The sequence below is a fragment of the Homo sapiens genome, chromosome 20, assembly GCF_000001405.40.
Source record: "Homo sapiens chromosome 20, GRCh38.p14 Primary Assembly".
Lineage (NCBI taxonomy): Eukaryota > Metazoa > Chordata > Mammalia > Primates > Hominidae > Homo > Homo sapiens.
In genome coordinates, this window is record NC_000020.11 from 435,480 (window position 1) to 462,793 (window position 27,314).

The window sequence follows — 27,314 nt, forward strand, 5'->3', positions numbered from 1 at the left end:
TTATGTTTACCAGTTTATTACAAACATTATTAGAAAAGGATACAAATAAGTAAACAGCCAGATGAAGATACACACAGGGTGAGGTCTGGACGGGTCCTGGGCAAATGCTGGAGCTTCTGTCCCCATGGAGTGGGGGTGCGCCACCCTCTTGGCACATGGACAAGTTCTCGTTCCCCTCCCTCCACATGTTCAGCTCTTCAGAAGCTCCCGTGTTCCTGGGCCTTTTATGGAGACGTCATTGGATAGGCATGGCTGAAGCATGGCAGCTGTGTTGAGATGAAACTGGACAAAAAGCATAAGGTCTAAACCCAGCAAGGCCTGTCTGTCCAGATGCTTCTTGGCCTCTCTGTGCAGCGTTCCTCCTTCCGGGTATGGGGCAGCACCCTCTCTGGAATGAGGGTCTTATGAGCTACAGTCAGATTAAAGTCTGGTGTTGAGCAAGTGAAATGGGGCAGGAGAAGGTCACAGACAGAGATTCCGTTTTCTGAGGCCTGCAGTGTCCCAACATTATAACAAAGGGTTATGGGAGTGATGAACCAGGAACTGTGGACAAAAACATCTACACACGTATAAAATATCACAGTGCCCTGGGCTGCAGCTGGAGTGTGTGGGTCATAATTCTTGCAGATGAAACAGAAACAGCAAGACTGTAGGTACTGCCCAAGGTCTCCTAGCCAGTCAAGGCTGACCAGGAGTCCACAGACCATGGCACAGTTCTGGGCCTGACATGGAAGGTGGGAGCATCCAGATCAGAGACCATTCCCACTGAGCGGTGGCCAAGGACGGAATGACAGAAGAGGTGATTAGTAACCACATATGGCTGTTTATTTGATACAGGGCTCTGTACAAAATATTTACACATATTCTTTACAGAATAAGTAAACCACCTGAAGGTAATTAGATAATGCTTTCTTCTCAATGACAGGGAGAATCCTGGTGTCAGCAAAGTTAGAAAACAGATAAACATTCTCCTTCCGAGGCCACAACTCAAGCAAATGCCACTTGCTTCCTAGGATCTGAAAAGCTGTGGCCTTGGGACCCTGGTCACATGCACCTCCTTTCCTCAACCCCATCAATTCCTTCAGTATTTACAAACAGGCTTGAGTACTTGTGGAAGGAGGGGCAGCTGGTGCCGCCCACTGAGAGGATGACAAGAGGGCCAGCTTGCTTTGGGAGAGCACTGGGAATATCTGCCGCATCATCACCTCTGGAAGAATTTCCTTTGCCCTGATGAATACACCACTGTCTAAATTAATCCATCGACATCACACTTACCCCACAGTGGGGCTCCTGAGCCATGGACAATGATCCATCCCTTTGAGCTTTTTTTGGTTTTAAAGTGCGTAGTGGTGGCTGGGCGTGGTGGCTCACACCTGTAATCCCAGCACTTTGGGAGGACGAGACGGGCAGATCACCTGAGGTCAGGAGTTCGAGACCAGCCTGGCCAACGTGGCGAAACCCCATCTCTACTAAAAATACAAAAATTAGTCAGGCGTGGTAGCAGGTGCCTGTAGTCCCAGCTACTCGGGAGGCTGAGGCAGCGAGAATTGCCTGAACTTGGGAGGCGGAGGTTGCAGTGAGCTGAGACTGCACCACTGCACTCCAGCCTGGGCAACAGAGTGAGACTCCATCTCAGAAAAAAGAAAATAATAATAAAATAAATAAAAATAAAGTGCTTAGTGTAACTCAGCGGACAGGGCTCCCAGCTGCTCTGGCACGTGGGACACCCTCCACCCTGCACACAACAGGCATGCAAAGAGGACTGGATATGGTGGGGTAGAGTGCTTCTGGTGTGTTCACTTTAAGAAAACATCTGCCAAGAGAGAAGAGTGCCCAGGAAAGACCAGGAAAATACAAGTACATGGCTGCTTCATACCATATACCCCAATTCTTTAAAGCAGCAAAAGGCACTTTTTTTTTCAGGCCAGAGTGAATCTAAAACAAACCTGGCTTTGCTTACAGGGAAGCTGTCCCAGAAGGACTGAGTGATGCCTCTTGTTCCCTAAGGTCTGGAGAGTCTTTGCAAGTTTCCAACGACATTTCCAACCAGGTGGGAGAGACCAGCAGTTGACGAGTCAAGTCAGACCCAAAAAACGACGCCAAGGTAGTGAGTGGGTGCCTATTTGGGAGTAGGATGATTTGAGGAAAACAGGAAGAAAAACCGGTCAGAAAGTGGCACTTTGGAAGTGGAAAGCTGTTTGCAAATAGCAACTCTGGCTAAAGCGAAAATGTTAATCAAGTAGAAAGTAAAATTCAGGATCTTAGAAGCTCATCCTTCTGATGAGAACTATTTTTTTTTCCGTGAAGGAACTATTATTACTTTAAAAGTGAGGGTAATTTACATATGGGGTGTATATATTCTAAAAATAGTAATAAAAGTACCTTTTATAAGCAATGTTGTGTGGCTTGTAGAAGAAAGCAGGGAGGAAAAAAAGGCAGGCAAAACTAGTCTAGGTCTAGGCCCTAAAAATGAGCTTCCTTCCCACTTGACTGGAAACGCCCATGTGATTTCTAGGCTGAAAATAGGTAGGATTTAACGAGTAACCTAGTTCCCTTCTGTCTCTGATTTCTGATCAGCTGATGGAGCTGCTAGTAAGAGGGGCCGATCATGCTCCCAGACGAGTCCTTTGGCCTCTTGCTCTCCATCCCAAGCCTGACTCCTTCAGCAGCAGCCCCCTCCTTCTGTGTCCATCTGATGCAGGCAAGCAGGAGCAGTAAGAGGGCATCCCATGTTCCAGTTCACCTTCTATGGGGTGACTAGGAGGTTCCCGGTAACTAGGGCAGCCCAGGCCCAGCAGGTTGCAAAAGCAGCTGCAAGCTTCAGAAACCCACTTCCTCCAACACCAGGGAGGTGGCAGAGAGCCCATCCAAAAGCCCACTGGGAGAGGCATAAGATTCTGTGCCAGGCCCCCAGGTCCCCTCTGTGTCAGGTAGGCTCTGCTACTGGCCTCTGAAGTAAAGGCAAACACAAACGGGCAGGGCAGGGTGGCAGGAATAAAAAACTCTGGACAGAAACCCTTTTAATAAAGGAAATTCCACCCCTCCCAATCCTTCCATGGAAGGGTGAGACCTTAATGTGATGTAAGAGGAAGGTCTTCTCTGGCTTTCAGGGAAACAGCTGCAGCTGAAACTTAGGGGCCCATTCCAGGGCACTTTTCACCACAGCCAGTGCAGCCGCTCCAAGTGCCACTGTCAGCCCCATCACTGCCAATTTCACAAAGCGGTTGGTCCTTGGCTTGGTCAGGACATCTTTTGTTCGATCTTCAGGCCGCAGAAGTCCCCGAAACCGCTGCCGCAGCACCATATCAGGCCTCTGCTGGGCTGATGCCAGCTCAAAGTCTTTGAAAGTAGAGGCTGCCGTCCTGCAGGGGAAAGAGACGGAAGGAAGGAAGTGGTATGAAAGAGGAGGAGGAAAGCAAAACTACACCACATAGGCTGCGGGCAGAGCCTTTCATTGCTGGGAAAGCTCTTTATGATAAAGACCCATATGTCTACAGTGGGGATTCCACTGGCCTAAGCTCAGATCTCTGGAAACATGCCCCAACCCTATCCCACCAGACACAAACCTTCCCTCGCTTCTGCTCATTTACAGCCACCCCCATTCAACCAGTGTCCCAGCCTTGCTCACCTCTCAGCTTGCTGTTGGGCAGCGGCCTCCCGAGCAAGTTCGGATGGGGGAAACTGAACAAAAAGGTCTCCTGCTCTGCTGATCAGTGTCTCATAGGGCAAGTCCTGAGGGATCTGGGACAACAGGTGGTGGACCGAGGCCATGTCACAGTCACAGTCCAGGACTTCCTGCTCGCGATACAACACAATCTGTGGGGAGGTAGTAAAGCCTTGCAGTCAGAGGCCAGACACACAGGGCCTGGGCCACCTGCACTCCATTATCCTTGCAGATGAATTTAAACTGGTAACAGACAGGACTCAGCCCAAATGTTGAGCAAACTCTTGTATCCATCAAGGAAGTAATAACATATATACGCTCAGTGCTACTCCTACTCTCTGGCCCTTCCTGCAAACTTCCACCACATGACATGAAAGGCTGACCAGTTACAATCTAAGTCCTTCGGGCATGCTGGGCTGCTCAGGTGTCCCTTTAAGTCTTGAAAGAAATGAAGGAGATTCTTTTAGGAGAAAGTAGGAGAATTATTGGGAGATTCCTGGAGCTCCAGCATAGAAGAAATGGTTCAAAACAGTAGAAAGAACAGTCTTGCTCCCTTTAAGCATCTTCCTTCTGACTGTTGGTCCACAAATCCACAGATGCTCAAGGGACCAGTGGTCATTGAAGGACTTCCCTGAATTCCCATCTCCACCCCATCCCTCAAGACCCTTCTACTAACTGAAGCCCCTACCCTCCACCGCAAGCCGCCTCCCTTGTCTGTCATGACACCAGATCTCTTCTTTTCTTAAATCTGGAGTTGACAGCTTACGCTACTATTTCCCTAATTGTGTTCATCAGCTGAACATATATTCCAGACAATGTCAACAGGAACCCTGACAATTCACAATGCAGATTAGCATTTTAAAGGTTCAGAAGTGTCATGCAGCAAAAAAAATCTGATTTTGTTTATACCCAGCATTTCCCAACTTACTATTTTTTGTGTGTGACACCCCCATTAATACTGCACAGAATGGTGTCCAGGGACACCAGCCTGGGAAGTGCTGTCTTTTGCATCTTTCCATAATCCCCAGGTTTCCCTTCAGGGAAAATGACCACAGTGGGATGGGTGATGGTGAACCCAGCTGCTGGCTCGTGGCCTGTACCTACCACGGCTGCAAAGTAAATCGGCATCAGTGGGTGGCAGGCCAGGAAGAAGTCATATAACCGCACGACGTGCCTGAAGTCAGACAGGACATGCCCAAACCAGGTGATGAGCCAGCTGAGGGCAAAGATGGTCCCTACCTCAGCACTAGAAACAAAGGAAAGGCAGGTGTCAGGTCCTGTGGGCCATCCCTTCCCTCTCTCTGGGCCTTATAGCGCTGGTGAGAAGGAAGCATTTAGGAATAAGATTTCTGGAAAATTCAGTTACCTAGGAATTCAGCATCTTCTCCTTACAAAATATTTAATACAAAGTCTTTAAGGTGTACCACAACACTAACACCACAACAGGGTCCTGGCTGCTTTATCTCACTGGGTGCTCGCCTACTGGCCAACAAATGTCAACTACAGGAACGAGAAGCAGTTGTTTTCAGAGAACTACGCCATGATTCTCCTTCTGACTAAGTCTTACCCTTCTGGGGGGCACAGGTACATATTCCCAAGCCTGAAAACATGACTGCATTAATTTTTCTGTTAACATGAGACAACTGAAATATCTTAAGATGTAGCTGCCAGACACGGTGAGTCACGCCTATAATCTCAGCACTTTGGGAGGCCAAAGCGGGCGGATCACCTGACATCGGGAGCTCGAGACCAGCCTGACCAACATGGAGAAACCCTGTCTCTACTAAAAATACAAAATTAGCCGAGCGTGGTGGCGCATGCCTGTAATCCCAGCTACTTGAGGCTGAGGCAGAAGAATCGCTTGAACCCGGAAGATAGAGGTTGCAGTGAGCCAAGATCATGCCATTGCACTCCAGCCTGGGCAACAAGAGAAAATACTCCATCTCAAAAAAAAAGAAGGCATAGCCATTACCTTTTAAAAAATTTTAAAAAAAGAGGCATTGGCCAAGAACACATTTCCAACTAAACAGAGAAGAAACAAAACATCACATGGGATTTGCAAAAAAATATTTCTTCTCTTTGGTACTTGGGAAATAAAACAACCCATTGTTGGCCTTCCCCTTCTCGCCACTGGATCCCACAGGACTTTGTGTTTCTCTTGTGGCAATAACCTCAACATCTTACCTTGGCATACATACCTTATCCACCTCTCCCCACTAGATGTAAACTCAAGGGATGGGCTATGTCCCCCAAAGAGCACAGTCCCCAAAAATGCTCCAAGAACTGAATTACCCAGATTGCTGGTGACTGGAACAACTGGGGAGAACTTAACAAATCCACCCAAGACAATGAGGAAACTGCGCTCGGCTTGTGAGGAGTGTTTCAGGTGTGGGGGGGTGTGGGCGTGTGTATGCATGCACACAGAAATGCAGACACATATGTACCTCTGCATGAAGTCATGGAGCTCTGGATTCACCTGGTCAATGATGGGCATCAGATAGTTTAATATATGCTTGGTGTTGTCCATTGTTGGATCCATAAAATCCCTGGAGGGAGACAATTCAATAAGCCTGGTTACCAAACACTTAGATCAGGGCTCAGGGTGGCGAGGGCTCAAACTCCTAAAAAAGCTGACCAGAAAACAGGCCAGTGAGTTATCCCCAGGACGGCTGAGGAGTGATGCCCGTCGTCTTGTGTTCCTCTCTACTGGTACCTGAGGTGGTGGGTAGATAATTTTTCTACCAGGGATGTTGCCAGCCTCTCGCCTACCACCAGCAGAAATGTGACCACAATGTCATGGTAGCCCTGGTAGTAGTGCAGCTGAGGGTTGCGCTCCAAGATGAGGAGGATGATGTCAATCAGTTCTTCCTGGAGCCCTTCTCTCTGTTCCTCTGGCATGCCTGGGGACAGGAACAGAGATGCCTTTGAACATACCAAGCAGCCTAGTTAACAAGGAGGTCGAAGAAGGCCAGCAATGAATTTTCAGAGAAAAAAGGAAAATGAATTACAAATAATTTGGCAACGCATATCAAGATCCACTGTTGATACCACCTGGCATACAGGAAAAGGCAGCTGCTAGCTTTCCAGTAGGGGAAGCTGCAGATGCCACCCTAACCAAGTTGCTGCAGTTAATACTGCTGGGACACAGTATTTAACTGCAGAATTTCAACTATGGGAGCCACAGACGGCCTCTGCCTCCCGAGGTGATGCACTGACAGAGCTCAGCATCATGTCTGCAGGATTTCTATCAACAGCGCACAGACCTCAATCTCACAATGAAGAAATACCCAATATCCCCAAAGGAAGAGAAATTTAACTCTCATACAATACAAAGGAACTGTTCCAGATTAAAAATGGCTAAAGATATAGGACAACAGCATGAGAAACGCATAAATCTATATTTCCTTTTCCAGTGAAGCACATTACTCGAAGAAATGGTGAAATGTGAATAAAATCTGTGGATTAATTAGTTAACTATTTTTCAGTGTTGTTACTGATGTTGCTCAGTGTACTGTGATTACATGAGAGCCTTATATTTAGGAAATATGTCCTGAAACACTTGGGGTAAAAAGATGTCATGTTTGCAACTTACTCTTAAATAGTTCAGAGAAAAAGTGTATGTCTATGTGTAAAGCGAAGGAAAGACAGAAAGCAGCTAAAAAAGCAAATGTAGGCCAGGCGCGGTGGCTCACGCCTGTAATCCCAGCACTTTGGGAGGCAGAGGCAGGTGGATCACGAGGTCAGGAGATCGAGACCATCCTGGCTAATATGGTGAAAAACCCCGTCTCTAATAAAAAATACAAAAAATTAGCTGGGCGTGGTGGCAGGCGCCTGTAGTCCCAGCTACTTGGGAGGCTGAGGCAGGAGAATGGCATGAACCCAGGAACCAGAGCTTGCAGTGAGCTGAGATCGTGCCACTGCACTGCAGCCCGGGCGAGAGAGCAAGACTCCGTCTCCAAGAAAAAAAAAGCAAATGTAGTAAAATGTGAAAACAAAAGGAAATCTGGGTAAAAGGTATCTGGGGAATTCTTTGTCCTATTTTTACAACCTTTCAGTAAGTATGAAATTATATAAAAATAAAAAAATTTTAAAGTTACACGGTCCCCTTTAAACCAAAGCAAACGTTACAGGAAAAACTGATCCTCTTGATCCAAAGATGTATTATAGCTGGAAATAGGGAAGCCTGTCTCAGGAGTTCTTTCAGGGAGTTCTTTTACTGCTGGAGCTAGTGCTGCCAGCAGTAAAAATGCCTTGGCCTTATGAGCCAGGTTAGAAGAATGGCACATGCACAGCTTCTCCACACCATTAGCTTTCAGTTACAAACACATACTCAGAGAGAGAAAGCAGCTAATGTAAGGGCCCAAACTAAACCGGACAAAGGATTGCAGGTAAGAGCAAAACTCACCTCTTGCCCATATTTACCCCACCCCTTCTCAAATAAAAAGCATACCCTAAAAGATAAATAAGGAAACGAAGCAAACCCAGGGCTGCTGATAGGTGAAGCAGTGAAAGGAGTGAGAGTAAAAATTAAACCCTGTGTGAATTTTCAGCAGAAAAGCAGTGAGCCAAGCCCAGAAGACCATGAATGGAAAAAGAATATGAAGCCACACTGTAAGTTCAGCCTACAGAAAGCGTATCACAGATATTACATCAATGGAAGAGGAATAAAGGGTTCAGAGGGAAAACAGGTTACCTAGGAAAAAATGGGGGTGGCTCTTGCCTGTAATCCCAGCACTTTGGGAGGCTGAGGTACGTGCATCACCTGAGGTCAGGAGTTCGAGAGCAGCCTGGCCAACATGGTGAAACCCCATCTCTATTAAAAACACACACACACAAAATTAGCTGGGCGTGGTGGCGGGCACCTGTAATCCCAGCTACTTGGGAGGCTGAGGCAGGAGAACTGCCTGAACCTGGGAGGCGGAGGTTGTAGTGAGCTGAGACAGTGCCATTGCACTCCAGCCTGCAACAAGAGTGAAACTCTGTCTTTAAAAAAAAAAAAAAAAGGGAGGCATCTGTCCTATATGATCTCATCCAAACCAGCAGGCTAGGAAAAGGGAATGGACCGTGGGCATGTGCTTTTATCAAAACCACGCTGGCAGGCTACTGCTACCTGGGTATTGCAAGAATCTGTCCAGGGAGCAAGAATGCCAGCAGGAAAGCAGCCCCTTCAACAACAAAAGCCAGGCCAGAGCACAGTGCAGAAGAGGGAGGCAGCCAGCTTAGAGGCTCCTGTTCCCTTTAGCAATTCTCCTCTCTTCATGACCTAAAGGTGGAGTTGCCAGAGGAAGAAAAATAGGTCATCCATGTGAGGTTTGTTGCCCAGTTCCCTTCACTGTGAAAATTGAGACAACGGTCCTTCTTTTCTTTCTTCCTGAAATAAAGAGGTAATTTTAGGAATACATTCTTTTTTGTTTGTTTGTTTTGTTTTTATTTATTTATTTTTTTATCTATTGCTGCTTAATTTGTTAATTAAGGAATATACTCTTACACAAACAGGGAATGGCCTCTCTTCCCTCTAAGGAATCTTACATATGTATGCGCAAGGTACCATCGTTTTTAAACCTAATTAAGATATTACTCATTCTTGTTGGTGCCCAATTCCACACCAATCTGCTCTTTAATGCCAGACTGATGGCTCTAACAATCCTTATTAACTCCTTTTTGTGGCTTCAAGGAAAAACAAAAACCTCTTCTCTCATTCACCACCTCTAGGCCAGGAGAAATTATTTTTGGTTCAGGCTTTCACAGTGGGGGTCTGAAAGTGACCAGTCAAGAAAAGGATGACTCAGCAAAAGGAGAGCTCTGAAGGTCCCTGAGGCGGCAGGGTCCAGCATATTAGGTCACATGGTATGACCTGGAACAGATACAGTCTTTCCAAATGTGGCAGGACCGGGAGAGCTTCTCACCAGGAGGGAACCGCCGCAATGACCGCCGGACGTCCAGCAACACTTGTTGGTAGTCCTTGCTCATCTGCCGTAGGTTCTTCCCTATTGAAGGAAAAGGCACGTTATTGCAGGAATGCCTGAGAAGCCAGACCAGAAGCAAAACATTCTGGGATGACACAAAAGGCCTAGAGGGCACATGTCAGCTTCTCCTGAAGAGGATGATATGACTCAAGATACAACATTTGGCAGGGAATCCCTAGTTTGGTTCCAAACATTATGTTTCCTGCAAGTCACAATGACCCTAAGAGAAGGGAGCACAGACTGCCCAGGAGACAATACAGCAGGGTGGGAAGGAGAGCAAAGACGTAAGGAGGCCAGGCGCCTCGTGCAGAAGGCCACTGTGCATCACTGGGAACTGCTCTGAATTTCAAAGTCCACAGCTACAAAATGAGGATATTCCAAGGATCAAATAAAATCATGAATGTGGGAACAACAGACCACTGAAAAAAACCCTAACGCCTATAAAGTTGTGGGAGCACTAAGCTGTTTAGAAAGGTATATTGAGACTCACATAAAGAACCACCTAACAACTCTTGACCCAGCAATTCTAAAACTAAAGAGCTGCAAAGAGGAGACAGTCCTTGTGTTCAGCTGCTAAGTCCAATACAGCATGAAAGGAGGCAGTCTCTAGCCATTATACATATAACAAGTGTACATTTCCTCCAACCAAACCAAGTGCTGTATAATAAGCGTACATTTCTCTCACAACCCAAATCCAAAGCTAGTAAGGCTGGGCAACACTTCCTCACACGTAGGCTTCACGGTATAAAAAGATGAGGGAAGTTTGGAACCTGATAGAAGAACATCATCTCAGGATTCAGGGTGTGAACATGGCACTGCCTTAGCCTTCCAACAAAAAGCTGACTGCTCTGAAGCAGCCAATTCCAAGGATAATAACAAGTGGCAACTCAACACCTACTGGGTGACATCATGACGCTGTGAACTTTTTGGTGGCAGAAGTCCTGTTTCAATCATCTCCAGTACCTGGCAATCATAGCACAACTAATATTTGCCAACTGAAAGAATCCTCAGCACTTGGCATTTTGCCATGATGGCAGGAAAGCTACAAGGTGAGTGCACTGAGTGAATGAGCAGCAGAGTGGATTCACTGTTCTACAGGACTTTTACTATTTTGAACTTCATTCCAAGGAACTCTTTTCACCACATGGGCCTTGCACATTAGTTAGGTAACTCTTTTCACAGAATTACAGGATTTTAGAACTCCAAAGGATTTCAGTATTTCCCAATAAAAAGAGGGTGTTTTCTTTTTTTTTGAGTATCTCACTCTGTCGCCCAGGCTGGAGTATACTGGCGCAATCTCGGCTCATTGCAACTTCCGCCTCCTCGGTTCAAGCGATTCTCCTGCCTCAGCTTCCCTAGTAGCTGGAATTACAGGTGTGTGCCACCATACTCAGCTAATTTTTGTATTTTTAGTAGAGATGGGGTTTCACCATGTTGGCCGGGCTGGTCTCGAACTCCTGACCTCAAGTGATTCACCTGCCTCAGCCTCCCAAAATGCTAGGATTACAGGCGTGAGCCACTGTGCCCGGACAAAAGAGGGTGTTTTTGTGTGTGTTTAATTTTACTTTACTTTTAGAGATTGGATCTTGCCATGTTGCCCAGGCTGGCCTCAAACTCCTGGGCTCAAGTAATCCTGCCTCATCCTCCCAAGCAGCTAAGACTACAGCCGTGCACCACCATGTCTGGCTAGTTTTTAAATTTTTGTAGAGACAGGGTTTCGCAATGTTGCCCATGCTGGCCTCAAACTTCCAGTCTCAAGTGACCCTCCTGCCTCAGCCTCCGAAAGTGCTGGAATTACAGGTGTGAGTCACCTCGCCCAGCCACAAAATACGCATTTTTTTTTTTTTTTTTTTTTTTTGAGACGGAGTCTCACTCTGTCACCCAGGCTGGAGGACAGTGGTGCAATCTCTGCTCACTGCAACCTCCACCTTCCAGGTTCAAGCAATTCTCTGCTGCAGCCTCCTGCGTAGCTGGGATTACAGGCACCTGCCACCATACCTGGCTAATGTTCGTATTTTTTTTTTTTTTTTTTAGTAGAGATGGGGTTTCACCATCTTGGCCAGGCTGGTCTTGAACTTCTGACCTCAAGATCCACCTGCCTCAGCCTCCCAAAGTGCTGGGATTACAGGCGTGAGCCACCACACCCGGCCCAAAATATGCATTTTTAAAAAACACTTGCCAAGCAAGTATGCAGAACAAAGCATATGCATTTTTAATAAATTCACTTGCCTAGCCAATATTTTAATCCCTAATAAAAAAAGAACTTGCCTGGGCGTGGTAGCTCATGCCTGTAATCCCAGCACTTTGGGAGGCCGAAGCAGGCTGATCACTTGAGGTCAGGAATTCGAGACCAGCCTGGTCAACATGGCAAAACCCCATCTCTACTAAAAATACAAAAATTAGCCAGGCATGGTAGCGCATGTCTGTAATCCCAGCTACTAGGAAGGCTGAGGCAGGAAAATTGCTTGAACCCAGGGGGCAGAGGTTGCAGTGAGCTGAGATTGTGCCACCGCACTCCAGCCTGGGTGACAGAGCAAGACTCCGTCTCAAAAATAAATAAAATAAAAACAAGTAAAAAAAGAACTCATTCCACTTTTGAATAAAATTCTACTTATCGGTTTGGCCTTATTTTCAGAGTGGGCCCAAGCATTTCCCAAAACACCCTAGATTTATTCATATACCCTTGGTTTGAAAGGACCATAAAAATTAAAGATCCTGGAATTCTTTTCCCCCTGTCTCCTAGATAAGCTCCCCTCACAGCCTCCCCCACTCCCCTTACCTGATATAGGAGGTGGGTCATTGGCATTGACATTGAGGAGCTTGGGCCACACTTTTCGTCTGATCTCATCAGTCAGGAGCCCTCCTTCACTGATAGCCATGCGTCTAAGGGCAGCCACATCAGTGGGATCACTGTTCAGAGCCTGGTGTATCTCTGCCACTTTCTTTTTCCTTTTGGCGTTAAAGTCTGAAGATAAGGATAGGGAAGAATTAGGCGCACATTCAGCACGTGCATATTTTCTGCCTAGGACTCAAGCTCCTTTTTGATATGAGGTACAGGTAAGTATCTCCTCTTAGCTCTAAGACTGCCTGCTGGCATAAAGTCTCACAGCCAGATGCACTATTCATTTCGGGCCCAGTCTACTGGACCTCATGGTGGGAGGCTTGGAGAGCCCACTATAAAACAGATTTTAAATCACCGATTTTTAAAAAGATAGTCTCTTTTTATAGGTCTGAACCAAAAATCATAGGCACAGACTGGAAATAATTATTAGTTGTTGTTGTTTTTAAGAGACAGTGTCGGCTGGGTGTGGTGGCTCATGCCTGTAATCCCAGCACTTTGGGAGGCCGAGGTGGGCGGATCACAAGTTCAGGAATTCGAGACCAGCCTGGCCAATATGGTGAACCCCCGTCTCTCCTAAAAATACAAAAATTAGCTGGGCATCGTGGTGCTCGCCTGTAGTCCCAGCTACTCAGGAGGCTGAGGCAGAAGAATCACTTAAACCTGGGAGGCGGAGGTTGCAGTGAGCCGAGATCGTGCCACTGCACTCCAGCCAGGATGACAGAGCGAGACTCCGTCTTGAAAAAAAAAAAAAAAAAGAGACATTGTCTCTCTAAGTTGCCCAGGCTGGCCTCAAACTCCTAGGCAAAACCGATCCTCCCACCTCAGCCTTCCAAACAGCTGGGACTACAGGTGCATGCCACCATGCCTGGTCCAGAAATAATTACACGTACTTTTTTTTTTTTTTTTTTTTGAGACGGAGTCTCGGTCTGTAGCCCAGGCTGGAGTGCAGTGGCGCAATCTCAGCTCACTGCAACCTCCGCCTCCCGGGTCCCGGTTCAAGCAATTCTGCCTCAGCCTCCCAAGTAGCTGGGATTTCAGGCACGCACCACCATGCCCAGCTATATTTTTGTATTTTTAGCAGAGATAGCGTTCACAACGTTGGCCAGGGTGGTCATGAACTCCTGACGTCGTGATCCTCCTGCCTCGGTCTCCCAAAGTGCTAGGATTACAGGTGTGAGCCACCACGCCCAGCCTATATGTACTTTTTTTTTTTTTTTTTTGAGAAGGACTCTTGCTCTGTCGCCAGGCTGGAGTGCAGTGGCACGATCTCGGCTCACTGCAACCTCTGCCTCCCGGGTTCAAGTGATTCTCCTGTCTCAGCCTCCCAATACATTAAAAAAAAAAAAAAAAAAAAGGTAAGTGAGGCTGGGCACGGTGGCTCATGCCTGTAATCCCAGCACTTTGGGAGGCCGAAGTGGGCAGATAATGAGGTCAGGAGTTCGAGACCAGCCTGGCCAACATGGCAAAACCTCATCTCTACTAAAAATACAAAAATTAGCCAGGCGTGGTGGCATGCACCTGTAATCCCAGCTACTCGGGAGGCTGAGGCAGGAGAGTCGCTTGAAACCCAGGAGGCTGAAGTTGCAGTGAGCCAAGATCGTGCCACTGCACTCCAGCCTGGGCGACAAAGTGAGACTCCGTCTCAAAAAAAATGATAAGTGAAAAAAGAAATGTGTTAAAATCAGACAGATCTTGGTTCAAATCCTGGCTCTGCCACTTATCTGATCCATAATCTTGGACAGATGACTTCCCTGCTCTGGGCCTCTGGACTGACACCCTCTTGTCAGGATAGTTACCATGGTACACAGTAGATACTTACTAAATATTAGCTCCCCTCCTCACTCTGAAACAACATGTATTTTACAAATCAACCTACAGATATTTAATTAGTACGTAATATGCAAAGCACTAAGGAGATATACTGTGTAAGTAACAAGCAAGGAATTACAACTATAATAAACGCTCAGTAAATTCAGGCATATCTAGCAGTTAGTGTCAATGTTTTCATACAAGAATGTCCATTCTTAATTCCCAAACTTCACAGAGCATATACATCTCTTACTGTAACAATTTTTTCCTGTTGTTTAAATAGGAAAAATGCATGTCACCAAAACTCGATACTACATTGAAAACATAACCACATGAAAAGGTCTCCTGTTACACGCTACTACAACTGGTAAAAACATTAGAATCACATAGAGATTTTTTTTTTTTTTTGAGATGGAGTCTCACTGTCGCCCAGGCTGGAGTGTAATGGCGCGATCTCAGCTCACTGCAACCTCCCTGTCCCAGGTTCAAGTGATTTTCCTGCCTCAGCCTCCTGAGTAGCTGGGATTACAGGCATGCACCACCACGCTTTGCTAATTTTTTTTTTTTTTTAGACAGGGTTTCACCATGTTGGCCAGGCTGGTCTCGAACTCCTGACCTCAAGTGATCCACCTGCCTCAGCCTCCCAAAGTGCTGAGATTACAAGCGTGAGCCACCACGCCTGGCCAACACAGAGATGTTTTCAAAACCAGTGTCAAAGGGTACTTGGGTTTCCAGTGTGGCTGGTGACACTGCCACCAGACACTGCCACAGAGAGGCTGTGACACTGCATACAAAGGAACTGTTTCTTAAAAACCATAGTAAGTAATGTTTTAAGCATCTTACATCCTTATGTGATAGTCTGTTATTCATAGACATTTTGCCATGTTTAAATTACTTTTTAGGACTGGTCCCTGAGTGGTGCTATTTACAACTCATTGATTACAATCAGTTAGATTTCTTTGTTCCTTTTCCACGCCCACTGCTTCACTTGACTAGCCTTCAAATAAATAAATAAATAACTTTTTTGGGAAATTGGTTGGGAATTTGTGGTTAGTAGCTATCATATCATTTTTCTATGTGAAATAACAGAGTATTGCTTTTTGGCCTTTGGCTGAGATCAGGGGAGATAAAGGAGTAAAAGGCTCTGAAAGTTTGCATGCAGAATGTCTGCTTTTAGGGATGGCTTGTGGAAGTTAAATGGATGATGCCTGTATTTCAGTTCTTTCTAGTTGCCAGTACCATTGAGAAAATATGTCAAAAACACAAGAAATGTTACACAAGACAACACCAAACGTCACAAGGCAGTAGACTATAATTGTCAAAAAAGGTGCATGCAGACAATAATGGCCAAGAGCTCAAAGAGACTGCAGTGGGTCAGGGCCAAGCTAACCTGAGAAGTGTACCTTAAAAAGGAAGAGGAGCAAAACTCTCTTGACATGCTTAATTGTGATGTTTAATGAACATCCTTGCAGTGTAAGACGACCTTTTTAAAATACATTCTTGGCCGGGGACGGTGGCTCACGTCTGTAATCCCAGCACTTTGGGAGGCCAAGGCAGGCAGATCACCTGAGGTCAGGAGTTCGAGACCAGCCTGGCCAACATGGTGAAACCCTGTCTCTACTTTAAAAATACAAAAAACTAGCCGGGCATGGTGGCAGGCGCTTGTGGTCCCAGCTACTCAGGAGGCTGAGGCAGGAGAATCGCTTGAACCTGCAAGGTGGAGGTTATAGTGAGCCGAGATAGCGTCACTGCACTCTAGCCTGGACGTCAGAGCAAGACTCTGTCTCAAAAGAAAAATAAATAAATAAATAAATTCTCTCGGCTTCAGACCTACCTATCTTTGGTGTCTCAAGTTAAACCCAAAGCAGCACCCATCACATCTGCCTTTTCTTTACTTTTGTCTCCTATTGCTTCCAGATACCTTCTTCCTTTTCCTGCAAAGCCCATTCTGCTGGAGTGGAAAAGTCCAATGCCTTGATGCCAGGGTCTTGTTCAGTCACTCAAGATGGAGTGTAGTGGCACAGTCATGGCTCACTGCAGCCTCAACCATATATATATAGTTTAAATAAATCAATAAACCAATAAATTCTCTCTTAATGATGGTTTGAGCCTCACCACTTGATTAGGACAATCAGCATAACCTGTAGAATCTTATTTGGAATTGAATTCTGTATTGTAATTTTGTTCCTGTTCATTTTTAAATTTTATTTTTCTTTCACTGTAAAGATGATACTCTGCTTTAAATGTTAAAAGTGTACAAGCAAAAGGCCGGGCACAGTGGTTCACACCTGTAATCCCAGCACTTTGGGAGGCTGAGGCAGGCAGATCACGAGGTCAGGTGTTCGAGACCAGCCTGACCAACATGAGGAAACCCCGTCTCTACTAAAAATACAAAAGTTAGCCTGGCCTGGTGGCGCACGCCTGTAATCCCAGCTACTCATGAGGCTGAAAGAGGAGAATTGCTTGAACCCCGGTGGCAGAGGCTGGAGTGAGCCAAGATCGCACAACTGCACTCCAGCCTGGGCGCGACATAGCGAGACTCCATCTCAAAAACAAACAAACAAAAAAAAGTGTACAAGTTAAGGAAGCCAGGTACAATGGCTCACACCTGTAATCCCAGTGCTGTGGAGGGCCAAGGTGTGAGAATCACTTGAGTCCACAAAATCGAGAACAGCCTGGGCAACAAAGTGAGACCCTGTCTCTACAAAAAGTACGAAAAGTTAGCCAGGCATGGTGGTCCCAGCTACTCAGGAGGCTGGGGCGAGAGGATCACTTGAGCCCAGGAGTATAAGGCTGTGGTGAGCTATGATAGCACCACTGCACTTCAGCCTAGGTGACAGAGCAATACCCTATTATCAAGGCACTGGACTTTTCCACTCCAGCAGAATTCTAAATTTTATTTAAACTATGTAGTATATATTAGGTGCAAGGCACCAGAGTTCATGTGAAGTGGAAGATATCACCAGAAGGTAGGGCAGATTTTAGAAATAACTAACAGAAGGTACATTAGGTTTTAGAAGGGACACCAAGCATCTTCCCCAGCAATGTTCTAGTCTGAGGAAAAGGAGGAAGGTGTCCTGGTGACCTGTCTCTAAAAACAAAAACAAGGCTGGGCACGGTGGTTCATGCCTGTGATCCCAGCATTTTGGGAGGCCGAGGCGGGCAGACCACCTGAGATTGCGAGTTTGAGACCAGCCTGACCAACACGGAGAAACCCCATCTCTACTAAAAATACAAAATTAGCCGGGCGTGGTGGCACAGGCCGGTAATGCCAGCTACTCAGGAGGCTGAAGCAGAATCGCTTGAACCCAGGGGGCGGAGATTGAGGTAAGCTGAGATTGCAGATCGCGCCATTGCACTCCAGCCTGGGCAACAAGAGCGAAACTCCGTTTCAAAAAAAAAAAAAAAAAAAAAAAAAAAAAAAAAAACAGGCTGGGCGCAGTGGCTCACGCCTGTAATCCTCGCACTTTGGGAGGCCGAAGTGGGCAGATCATCTGAGGTCAGGAGTTCGAGACCAGCCTGACCAACATGGAGAAACCCCGTCTCTACTAAAAATACAAAAAATTAGCCGGGCGTGGCGGCGCATGCCTGTAATCCCAGCTACTCGGGAGGCTGAGGCAGGAGAATTGCTTGAACCTGGGAGGCAGAGGTTGCAGTGAGCCGAGATCATGCTATATGCCACTGCACTCTAGCCTGGGCGACAAGAGCGAAACTCCGTCTCAAAAACAACAACAACAACGACAGCAACCACGGACGGTGGCTCGTGCCTGTAATCCAGCATTTTTTTTTTTTTTTTTTTTTTTGAGACGGAGTCTCGCCCTATTGCCCAGACTGGAGTGCAGAGGCGCAATCTCGGCTTACTGCAACCTCCACCTCCCAGGTTCAAGTGATTCTCCTGCCTCAGTCTCCTGAGTAGCTGGGATTACGGGCACGTGCCACCATGCCTGGCTAATTTTTTTTTTTGTATTTTTAGTAGAGACAGGGTTTCACCATGTTGGTCAGGCTAGTCTCAAACTCCTGACCTCGTGACCCGCCAGTCTCAGCCTCCCAAAGTACTGAGATTACAGGCGTGAGCCACCACACCTGGCCTATCCCAGCACTTTGGGAGGCCGAGGTGGATGGATCACTGAGGTCAGGAGATTGAGACGAGCCTGGCCAACATGGTGAAACTCCATCTCTATTAAAAATACAATAATTAGGCCAGGTGCGGTGGCTCACGCCTGCAATTCCAGCAGTTTGGGAGGCCGAGGTGGGCAGATCATGAGGTCAGGAGATCGAGACCATCTTGGCTAACACGGTGAAACCCTGTCTTTACTAAAAAAATACAAAAAAATTAGCCAGGCGTGGTGGCGGGCGCCTGTAGTCCCAGCTACTCGAGAGGCTGAGGCAGGAGAATGAGGTGAACCTGGGAGGCGGAGCTTGCAGTGAGCTGAGATCACACCACTGCACTCTAGCCTGGGTGACAAGTTCTGTCTCAAAAAAAAAAAAAAAAGGCAGAAAGAACATGGATTCACCTGCTTATACAAGAAAAAAGGAAAAAAAAAAGTGTACGAGTTGCCTTGTTACAATAAAACTAAATGTGTATACACACAAAGGAAATGGAGGACATTCAGGGGCTGGGATGAAGGGTACAGAAGAAAGGCCAGGAGATACGGCCCTTCCATTTGACAGTAAATAGACTAATTAAAAAATATTTATGTAGTATATATTAGGTGCAAGGCACCAGAGTTCATTTGAAGTGGAAGATATCACCAGAAGGTAGGGCAGATTTTAGAAATAACTAACAGAAGGTACATTAGGTTTTAGAAGGGACACCAAGCATCTTCCCCAGCAATGTTCTAGTCTGAGACCATTGTGAGTCTACAAACTGTTTCTATGACAAAGCTGTACATTATTATTATTATTATTATTATTTTATTTTTATTTTTTGAGACAGAGTCTTGCTTTGTCTCCCAGGCTGGAGTGCAGTGAAGCAATCTTGGCTCACTGGAACCTCTGTCTCTTGGGTTCAAACCATTCTCGGGCCTCAGCCTCCCAGGTAGCCAGGATTACAGGCGCATGCTGCCACCACACCTAGCTAATTTTTTGTATTTTTAGTAGAGACAGGGTTTCACCATGCCAGGCTGGTCTCGAACTCCTGACCTGAAGTGATCTGCCTGCCTCAGGCTCCCAAAGTGCTGGGATTATAGGCATGAGCCATCAGGTCTGGCCCATTATTAACATAAATTAAAGTTGGTACTAATAAGTCACAGGTGAGCTACCTATGAGACCTGAAACGTAAAACCCACATAAACAGAGGCACTAGCTGGTTTGGAGCCATGTGCAATTGGAAGTGCGACAGAAAGATAATAGGAGTAACTTTTCACCTCGGTAAACCTGTCCTCCTGGCTTGACTGCTGTTTCCTGGTAACCTAGTAGGGTGACCATTTGTCCTCATCTGTCTGAGATCTTCCTGGTTTATACCTAGAGTCCTGGCACAATTGTTCACAGCAAACCCTTTCTGCTCCCTGTATTCTCAAATATGTCCCAGTTTGGAAGCCAAATTAAATGGTTACCTACCTAGAAATCATTAAAAATAAAACCCCTTCTGGGCACACCTATAATCCCAGTACTTTGGGAGGCCAAGGTGGGCAGATTACCTGAAGTCAGGAGATCGAGACCAGCCTGACCAACATGGTGAAACCCTGTCTCTACTAAAAATATAAAAATTAGCCGGGTGTGGTGGTGCACGCTTGTAGTCCCATCTACTCAGGAGGATGAGGCAGGAGAATCGCTTGAACCCGGGAGGCGGAGGTTACAGTGTGCCGAGATCATGCCACTGTACTCCAGACTGGGCAACAGAGTGACACTCTGTCTCATAAAATAAATAAATAAAAAATAAAATAAAATAGGCCAGGCGTGGTGGCTCATGCCTGTAATCCCAGCACTTTGGGAAGTCGAGGCGAGCGGATCACCTGAGGTCAGGCGTTCGAGACCAGCCTGACCAACATGGCGAAACCCCGTCTCCACTAAAAATACAAAATTAGCCAGGCGTGGTGGCAGGTGCCTGTAATCCTAGTTACTTGGGAGGCTGAGGCAGGAGAATCACTTGAACCCAAGAGGCGGAGGTTACAGTGAGCTGAGATCACGCCACTGCACTCCAGCCTGGGCAACGAGAGCAAAACTCCGTCTCAAAAAAATAAACAAAATAAAAATAAAAATATAATAAAATAAAAACCACTGCCGGGCATGGTTTTTAGTCCAGACGTGGCTCATGCTTATAATCCCAGCACTTTAGGAAGCCGACGTGGGCAGATTGCTTGACCCCAGGATTTGGAGAGCAACCAGCCTGCACAACATGGCAAAACCTTGTCTCTACAAAAAATAGGTGGGCGTGACGGCGTGCACCTGTAATTCCAGCTGCTTAGGAGGCAGAGGCGGGTTGTAGTGAGGCATGATTGTGCCACTGCACTCCAGCCTGGGTGATAGAGTAAGACTCTGTCTCAAAAACAAAAAAAAATCTCCAATTTCTTCTGTCAGCATAACACCTAGTCAATTGTTCATGAGATGTGTCAAGCTCTTGACTCAGGTGTGTCCTTTCATCCATTCATCCATTCATCCATTCATCCGCCTGCCCATTTGTCCAGTCATTCATCAGTCTGTCACTTAATGGGTGTCTACTTGTACTAAGCACTGTACTGGGGATAAAAAGATGAATTACTCCCTCCCAGCCCTTGAAGGGCTCACAGTAGGGACACAAACAATTATTATATATAATAGAATCTGAGGGATTATGAAAATCCAGAGGAAAGAATGACTTTTTTTCTTCTTCTTTTTTTTTGAGACGGAGTTACGCTCTTTGTTGCCCAGGCTGGAGCGCAGTGTTGCGATCTCAGCTCACTGCAACCTCCACCTCCTGGGTTTGAGCAGTTCTCCTGCCTCAGCCTCCCGAGTAGCTGGGATTACAGGCATTCACCACCACGCCTGGCTAATTTTTTGTATTTTTAGTGGAGACGGGGTTTTGCCATGTTGGCCAGGCTGGTCTTGAAATCCTGATCTCAGGTGATCTGCCTGCCTCGGCCTCCCAAAGTGCTGGGATTACAGGAGTGAGCCACCACACCTGGCCAAGAATGACTACTTCTAAAGCAGTCAGGAAAGGCTTCACCAAGAATATATTCTGGATCCTTCTTTTAATTTTTTTTTTTTTTTTTTTTGAGACAGAGTTTCACTCTTGTTGCCCAGGATGGAGTGCAACGGCACGATCTCAGCTCACCGCAACCTCCACCTCCCAGGTTCAAGCAATTCTCCTGCCTCAGCCTCCCGAGTAGCTGGGATTACAGGCATGCACCACCATGCCTGGCTAATTTTGTATTTTTAGTAGAGACAGGGTTTTTCCATGTTGGTCAGGCTGGTCTCGAACTCCCCACCTCAGGTGATCCGCCCACCTTGGCCTCCCAAAGTGCTAGGATTACAGGCATGAGCCACCGCATCTGGCCCTTCTTTTTAATTTTTATTTATTTATTTAGACAGGGTCTCACTCTGTTGCCTTGGCTGGAGTGCAGTGGCACAATCATAGCTCACTGCAGCCTCAACCTCTAGGGCTCAAGCGATCCTTCCACCTCAGCCTTCTATGCCACCATGCCTAATTTTAAAAAAATTTTTTGTAGAGGTGGGGTCTCATTATGTTGCCCAGACTGATCTTGAACTCCTGGGCTCAAGCAATCCTCTTGCCTCAACCTCCCAAAGTGCTAGGATCGCAGATGTGAGCCACCACACTGGGCTCTGGTACGTTCTTAAAGAAAATTTTGCCACAGGGAAGAGTGTGTTAAGGGGAAAGTACTCCAGGCAGAAGAGTTATGTGCAAAGACCTTGTCACATGAAAGAAACACCATGTCCAGGAAACAAAGAGTTCTATGAAGCTGAAGTGCCAGGTAAAGGGAGAGAACAGAAGCAGGTAGCACCGCAGTAAAAGAGGCTGGGCTGGATTCATCCCGCAAAGGAGTCTGGGTTTATCCTGTACTCAGGAGGAAGACAGGGAGGGATTTTACTTTGGGCCTGAGGGCCATCCTTTGGAAGACCAGGCTGTACGTTTTCAAGAGGGGTCAAAAACATGCAGGAAACAGAGAAGCCTTTTTATATAACATCGGTGGAGGCAAACCATGAGAAGAATTTAATTTCCAACAAAGAGAAAAAACCTAACATATTTAATTTTTTTTTAACTTGGGAGTACCCCTGCACTTTCCACACATCACAAATTGACAGCACTTGAGTGGCAATACTGAATACTGCTTGAGGGAAGCTGATATTCAGAAGTCTTGTTAACCTATTTGCTAAGAGTATGATAATTTTTCTTCAGTTTGTTTAGACATACATCCACCCCATCTCTCTTTCTAAATAAGCTATTCGGCAATCTGGGAGAAAGGAAATCTTGTATCTTGGGGAAAAAAACCACTATGCAGTCAACTGAATTTCCATGAGGTTTTGGCAAACCATTTGCCAGAATGTTACTTAATTCTGAACTCAAATCCTCAAATCATACCTCCCATAACTCATTTCTCTTAAGACTCTGTTCCAATTTTTTTTTTTTTTTTAGAGACAGGGTCTTACTCTGTCACCCAGGCTGGAGAATAGTGGCACGATCATGGCTCACTGCAGCCTCAACCTTCTGGGCTCAAGTGATCCTCCTGCCTTAGCCTCCCAGGTAGCTGGGACCACAGACAAGCTCCACTGGCCCAGCTAATTTTTGCGTATATATATTTTGTAGAGAAAAAAAGTGTTGCCCAGGCTGATCTCAAACTCCTGGGCTCTAGTGATCCACCCACCTCGACCTCCCAAAGTGCTGGGATTACAGGCGTTGAGCCACCATACCTGGCCTCCAATTCTACTTTTAATCCTGCATTTCAAAATTTACTTACTATTTCAAAATTTTTGGCACTCTGTGGGAACGCAACAAATACGTGCAGAATATAGTAAGTGATTTAGTTTAGTTATTGTTCCTCTGGAAAAAACTGGCTTGCAGTAAATGACATTATTTTTCCCATACTGTTAAGGTGATGCTCACTGCAGAACTCTCTAAACAGATCTGCAGACTCTTTGGCCTGTTTCTAACACTACCGGTGTTTCCCAGAGGAGGATGCTGTCCCAACGTGGATTTCGGCTGCTGTTTTTTTCAGGCCCCAACACCACCCTCCTCAACCCCACAGCCTAGTGATTAAATGTCAGTGGCAGATGGAGAAAGCACTCCCACGTGTGCCACTCTGACAAATACTTTATTCCAACTAAATGTATAGGCTCTCACTGTGACATAAAAAGGGAAGAGGAAACAGAAAATTCAAGTGAGCTAAAGATGTATGAATTACAGAGTGAGATCAACTGCTAGACGACACAGGGAGGGAGTTAGCAGCGTCTCCACTGAAAGACAAATTCACAGACATCCTGTTTATTTCCGAAAGAGAAACATCATAGAGCTATTCTTGGGATGTTCAGGAAAAGATTAAAATAAATGCCTATTATCTATTGTATTTCGAGATAAACTTTATAGATTTAGAGCAGGACACACATTTCTGGACTTGAGAACGCTGTATCTGGCTTGGAATAAAAGCCCACATTTCATCTAGAGGTAGAATGTATGTCATTCTAATCTCCCTCAATCCTTTCTTCTCCAATTTCTTTATTGCCCCACTTACAAGATAGTGCACTATTATTCCAAAGCTGATACCTTCCAAATTCCTTTATAGTAGAGGTCTTGGCTATCATAACCATGATGGAACGAATGACCGTCCTACAGCTGGCTGCAAAATATAAGACTGCTATAAATAAATCCCTGATGCCTGAAAAGTAATTCATTCAACAAAGGAAGATAGGTATGACTTTGGCCTACTCTTCATTAGAACGCTTATTTTTATTTATTTATTTATTTATTTATAAAGAGGGCAAAGCAGACTTTATTTGAGGGGCACCACAGCAATAGGTATAGCAACAACTGCAACAGGGTTTTGTAGTCAGGGAGGGAGATCAGACTCAACTCCCTAAAATGCTAATTTTAACAATGGGACACTTCATCTGAACTGTGGTTCTTAATGGTTCAGATAAAGATGACACAACCCACTATTGGCTTAAACTTCTCCCAACTCTGGCTACAGAATCCAGGTAAAGATTTCTGCCCCCTCAGAGTAATAGGCATGTCCAAAATCACCTGGATTAGGGCACTTAATACACTGGGAAGGGACGATAACAACTAAAGATGACCACTATCCATGCCTCCTCTAAAAGTTTTTTCATATATTTTTTCATATCACCAAAACAAATACTAACTTGGATCAACTAATTTATATAATGGAATCTCGTGTGAGCGTACAAAATTCCATACTGATTATTTGGTTTAAGCCTGCATTATCATAAAGGCTTTACAGTCTTTAAACTGAAATTAAGCTCAAATTAAGAAATGCTAGTCTTAAAACAATGGAAGGGGGGGGCCGTTTTGTGTGGAGGGAGGGAGACAGACATACCCCTACACCCACCCACAACTACTGATATTGACATTGGAAATTAACTTGAAAATTTATGCCTGTAGTCCCAGCTACTCAGGAGGCTGAGGTGGGAGGAGCACTTAAGTCCAGGAGTTGGGAGATGACAGTGAGCTTTGACTGTGACACTGCACTCCAACCCGGGTGACAGGGCAAGATCCCATCTCTCAAAAAAAAAAAAAAAAAATGCTTTAACTCCACGTCTGTACCAGAAGACCACAGCAGGAGAGGAAAACCTTATTTCAGTCTGGGTAAGAGTTCTATTAAACACAAAATAAAACAAACTAGCCTCTGTTTCTGGAGGTCTTCATTAGTAGTTTCTACAAAACAGTATCCAAATTAGCAAAGATTCTGTTAACTACCTGGAAAAAGCAGGTACCAAGAAAGAATGTTTCACTACAATGGAAAAAAACAGTCTAGTAAGTAAACCAATCTGACTATAAACGCTACAAAAGAGGGATTCTAGCATTAGTAACTTTGCCAACAATACTCTGATATGATTAAAAAACAAAACAATAACAAAAACAAAAAACCTCATCTTTAAATTTGTCCCATTCATCCAGAGAAGCAAAATCAAGGAAACTAGAGGGGGTAAAGTCTTGCAACAGATACACAGCTGCACTGCCAACAGGTCACAAGACCCATGCTGCCTAGGGCATTGACTGTTATGCCATGAGGACAGACATCACACAAACACCAGTAATTAAAGGGTTACGGTGCCAAAGGGTTCAGAGCTCCACTTCCATTCAGTATCAGAACATAAGAAAAAGGGAAAAACAGAAAATGAGCCCAAATAAAATATAAAATAAAATATAGATACCAGGAGCTTCCTCAAAATATGTGGGTTGTATTAATAACGTGTTTGGCTCTGTTACGGGCACCATCCATCAGAGGACTGGAAATAGGGAAAGTCACCTTAGTCTTCCTCAAGGAAAAAAGATTATTTAACTTGGTTCACGGTGTACATTCATAATTTTAACTGTCATGTATTTATTGAATGAAAAACATTTGAGAACATCATGTGCAACAAAAACATGATTTCACAGAAATTGTCCAAACTAAAAGAGTATAAAAATAGAAGCGCTTTTTATACAATTATTTACTTATTATTATTATTGAGATAGGGTCTCCATCTGTCACCCAGGCCGGAGTGCAGTGGCGCAATCATAGAGTAGCCTCTAAGTCCTGGGCTCAAGCGATCCTCCTGCCTCAGCCTCCAGAGTCGTTGGGATCACAGGCTCGAGCCTCCACACCCGACTAACTTTTAAAAACTTTTTGTAGAGATGAGGCCTCGCTGTGTTTCCCAGCCTGATCTCGAAATCCTGGCCTCAATCGATCCTCCAACCATGGCCTCCCAAAGCGCTGGGATTACAGGCGCGAGCCATGGTGCCCGGCCGCTTTTACACAATTGAATAACATTAAAATAGGTGGCAGAAGACAGACAGAAAGTCGATTCGTGGTTGCCAGGCGTCGTGAATACCGGGGAACGCGGAGTGCCTATTAATGGGTAAGGGTTTCGTTTTGGAATCAGACAGCGGCGATGGCTGCACAACTTTGTGAATTTTCTAAGAATCACTGAACTGTGCACCTTAAAGGAAGAACTGTGTGGTAATTACATCGGCGGTACGCGGGCAGCGCGTCAATCAAGCCGGCGACGGTGAATGCAGTTCGGGAGAGCTGATACCCCTCGGGGAGGCGGCTCCGGGAGCCTGCGGACGTGGCGGACGCCTGGGACGGGGTGGGCCTGGCCTCCGCGCTCGAGGAGTCCCAGTCCTCTCCAGATGGAAGAAAGCCGGGGCGCGAAGCCGCCGCCCGCTCTTCTGCCTGGGGACGCGACTCTGCCGCCAGGCTCCCTCGGGTCAGCTCGGCACCCGCCCGAGCCCCCCCAGTTCCAGGCCCTCTCCTCATCAGACGTGCCCTGGGCCCTCAGCCTGTTCCTCTCGCCGCCCGGAACCCCGCAGCAGCCCCGGGTCCCCAGCCCGCGCCCCTCCGGCGCCGCCTCCGCCAGCTGCCCCTGCCCCCCGGGCCGCCCTCGCAGGCCGCTCCCGGCGCCCCGGTCGGCTTCCGTACCTGCCTTCTCCGCGCCGCCGTCCCAGTGGCCGGAGGTGGGGCCGTCGCCCTGCGCACTCCGGAGGGCCATGCCCCGGGGCCCCGGGCCCCCACCCGAGCCCCGGCTGGTGGCGGAGCCGGGAGAAGACGCGGCTCCGACCGCGGGACGTAGCACCCGCTCGGCATCGGCAGGCTCCCCTCCGTCGGCCAGCGGCGCGCAGGCGCGCAGGCGCCCCGCTGGCCCCGCCCCGCGCCGGCACGTGACCCTGCGCTACGCCCGGCCGGCGGCGGGGGAGGCTGCGGAAAGAGCGCGGTGAGCGCTCTGAGGAGTTGGCTTCGTCTGCGCTGTAGACTCTACGGTGTAGAGTGTGGCGCTCTTGAGCGAGTGTGCTCGAGACCAGCTGTCGTTTCCTTTGCTTCTTTCATCTGTAAAATAGTATTGATGATAATAAAAATATTGAACTCACAAGGTTATTGAG

At 46.5% G+C, this 27,314-nt stretch overlaps 1 protein-coding gene across 2 annotated transcripts, besides 2 other annotated features; it reads right to left on the minus strand.

Moving 5' to 3' along the window:
• On the minus strand, positions 1-27,054 carry TBC1D20 (TBC1 domain family member 20). 2 transcript variants are annotated; one of them, NR_111901.2, is made up of 10 exons: positions 26,857-27,054; positions 12,410-12,595; positions 9,571-9,651; positions 6,378-6,564; positions 6,109-6,210; positions 4,769-4,910; positions 3,629-3,816; positions 3,071-3,362; positions 1,961-2,119; positions 1-491 (listed from the first exon to the last, which is right to left on the minus strand). NR_111901.2 is itself a non-coding variant. In NM_144628.4 (8 exons), the coding sequence occupies exons 1-8, from the start codon at positions 26,924-26,926 to the stop codon at positions 3,107-3,109; spliced, it is 1,212 nt and encodes a 403-aa protein (NP_653229.1). In that variant the 5' UTR covers positions 26,927-27,054; the 3' UTR covers positions 1-3,106. The 2 variants fall into 2 exon arrangements, 1 of the variants encoding a protein (NP_653229.1); NM_144628.4 differs by having other exon boundaries at positions 1-3,362.
• Positions 26,437-26,585: a silencer, noted in NCBI's record as "fragment chr20:442560-442708 (GRCh37/hg19 assembly coordinates)". NCBI's record gives its function as "represses an EF-1alpha promoter that drives an FKBP-Casp9 reporter gene in an ReSE screen in HepG2 liver carcinoma cells {active_cell/tissue: HepG2}" and the evidence as "EXISTENCE:reporter gene assay evidence [ECO:0000049][PMID:32094911]".
• Positions 26,654-27,143: a silencer, noted in NCBI's record as "silent region_12577". NCBI's record gives its function as "represses an Ori minimal core promoter by ATAC-STARR-seq in GM12878 lymphoblastoid cells {active_cell/tissue: GM12878}" and the evidence as "EXISTENCE:reporter gene assay evidence [ECO:0000049][PMID:35858748]".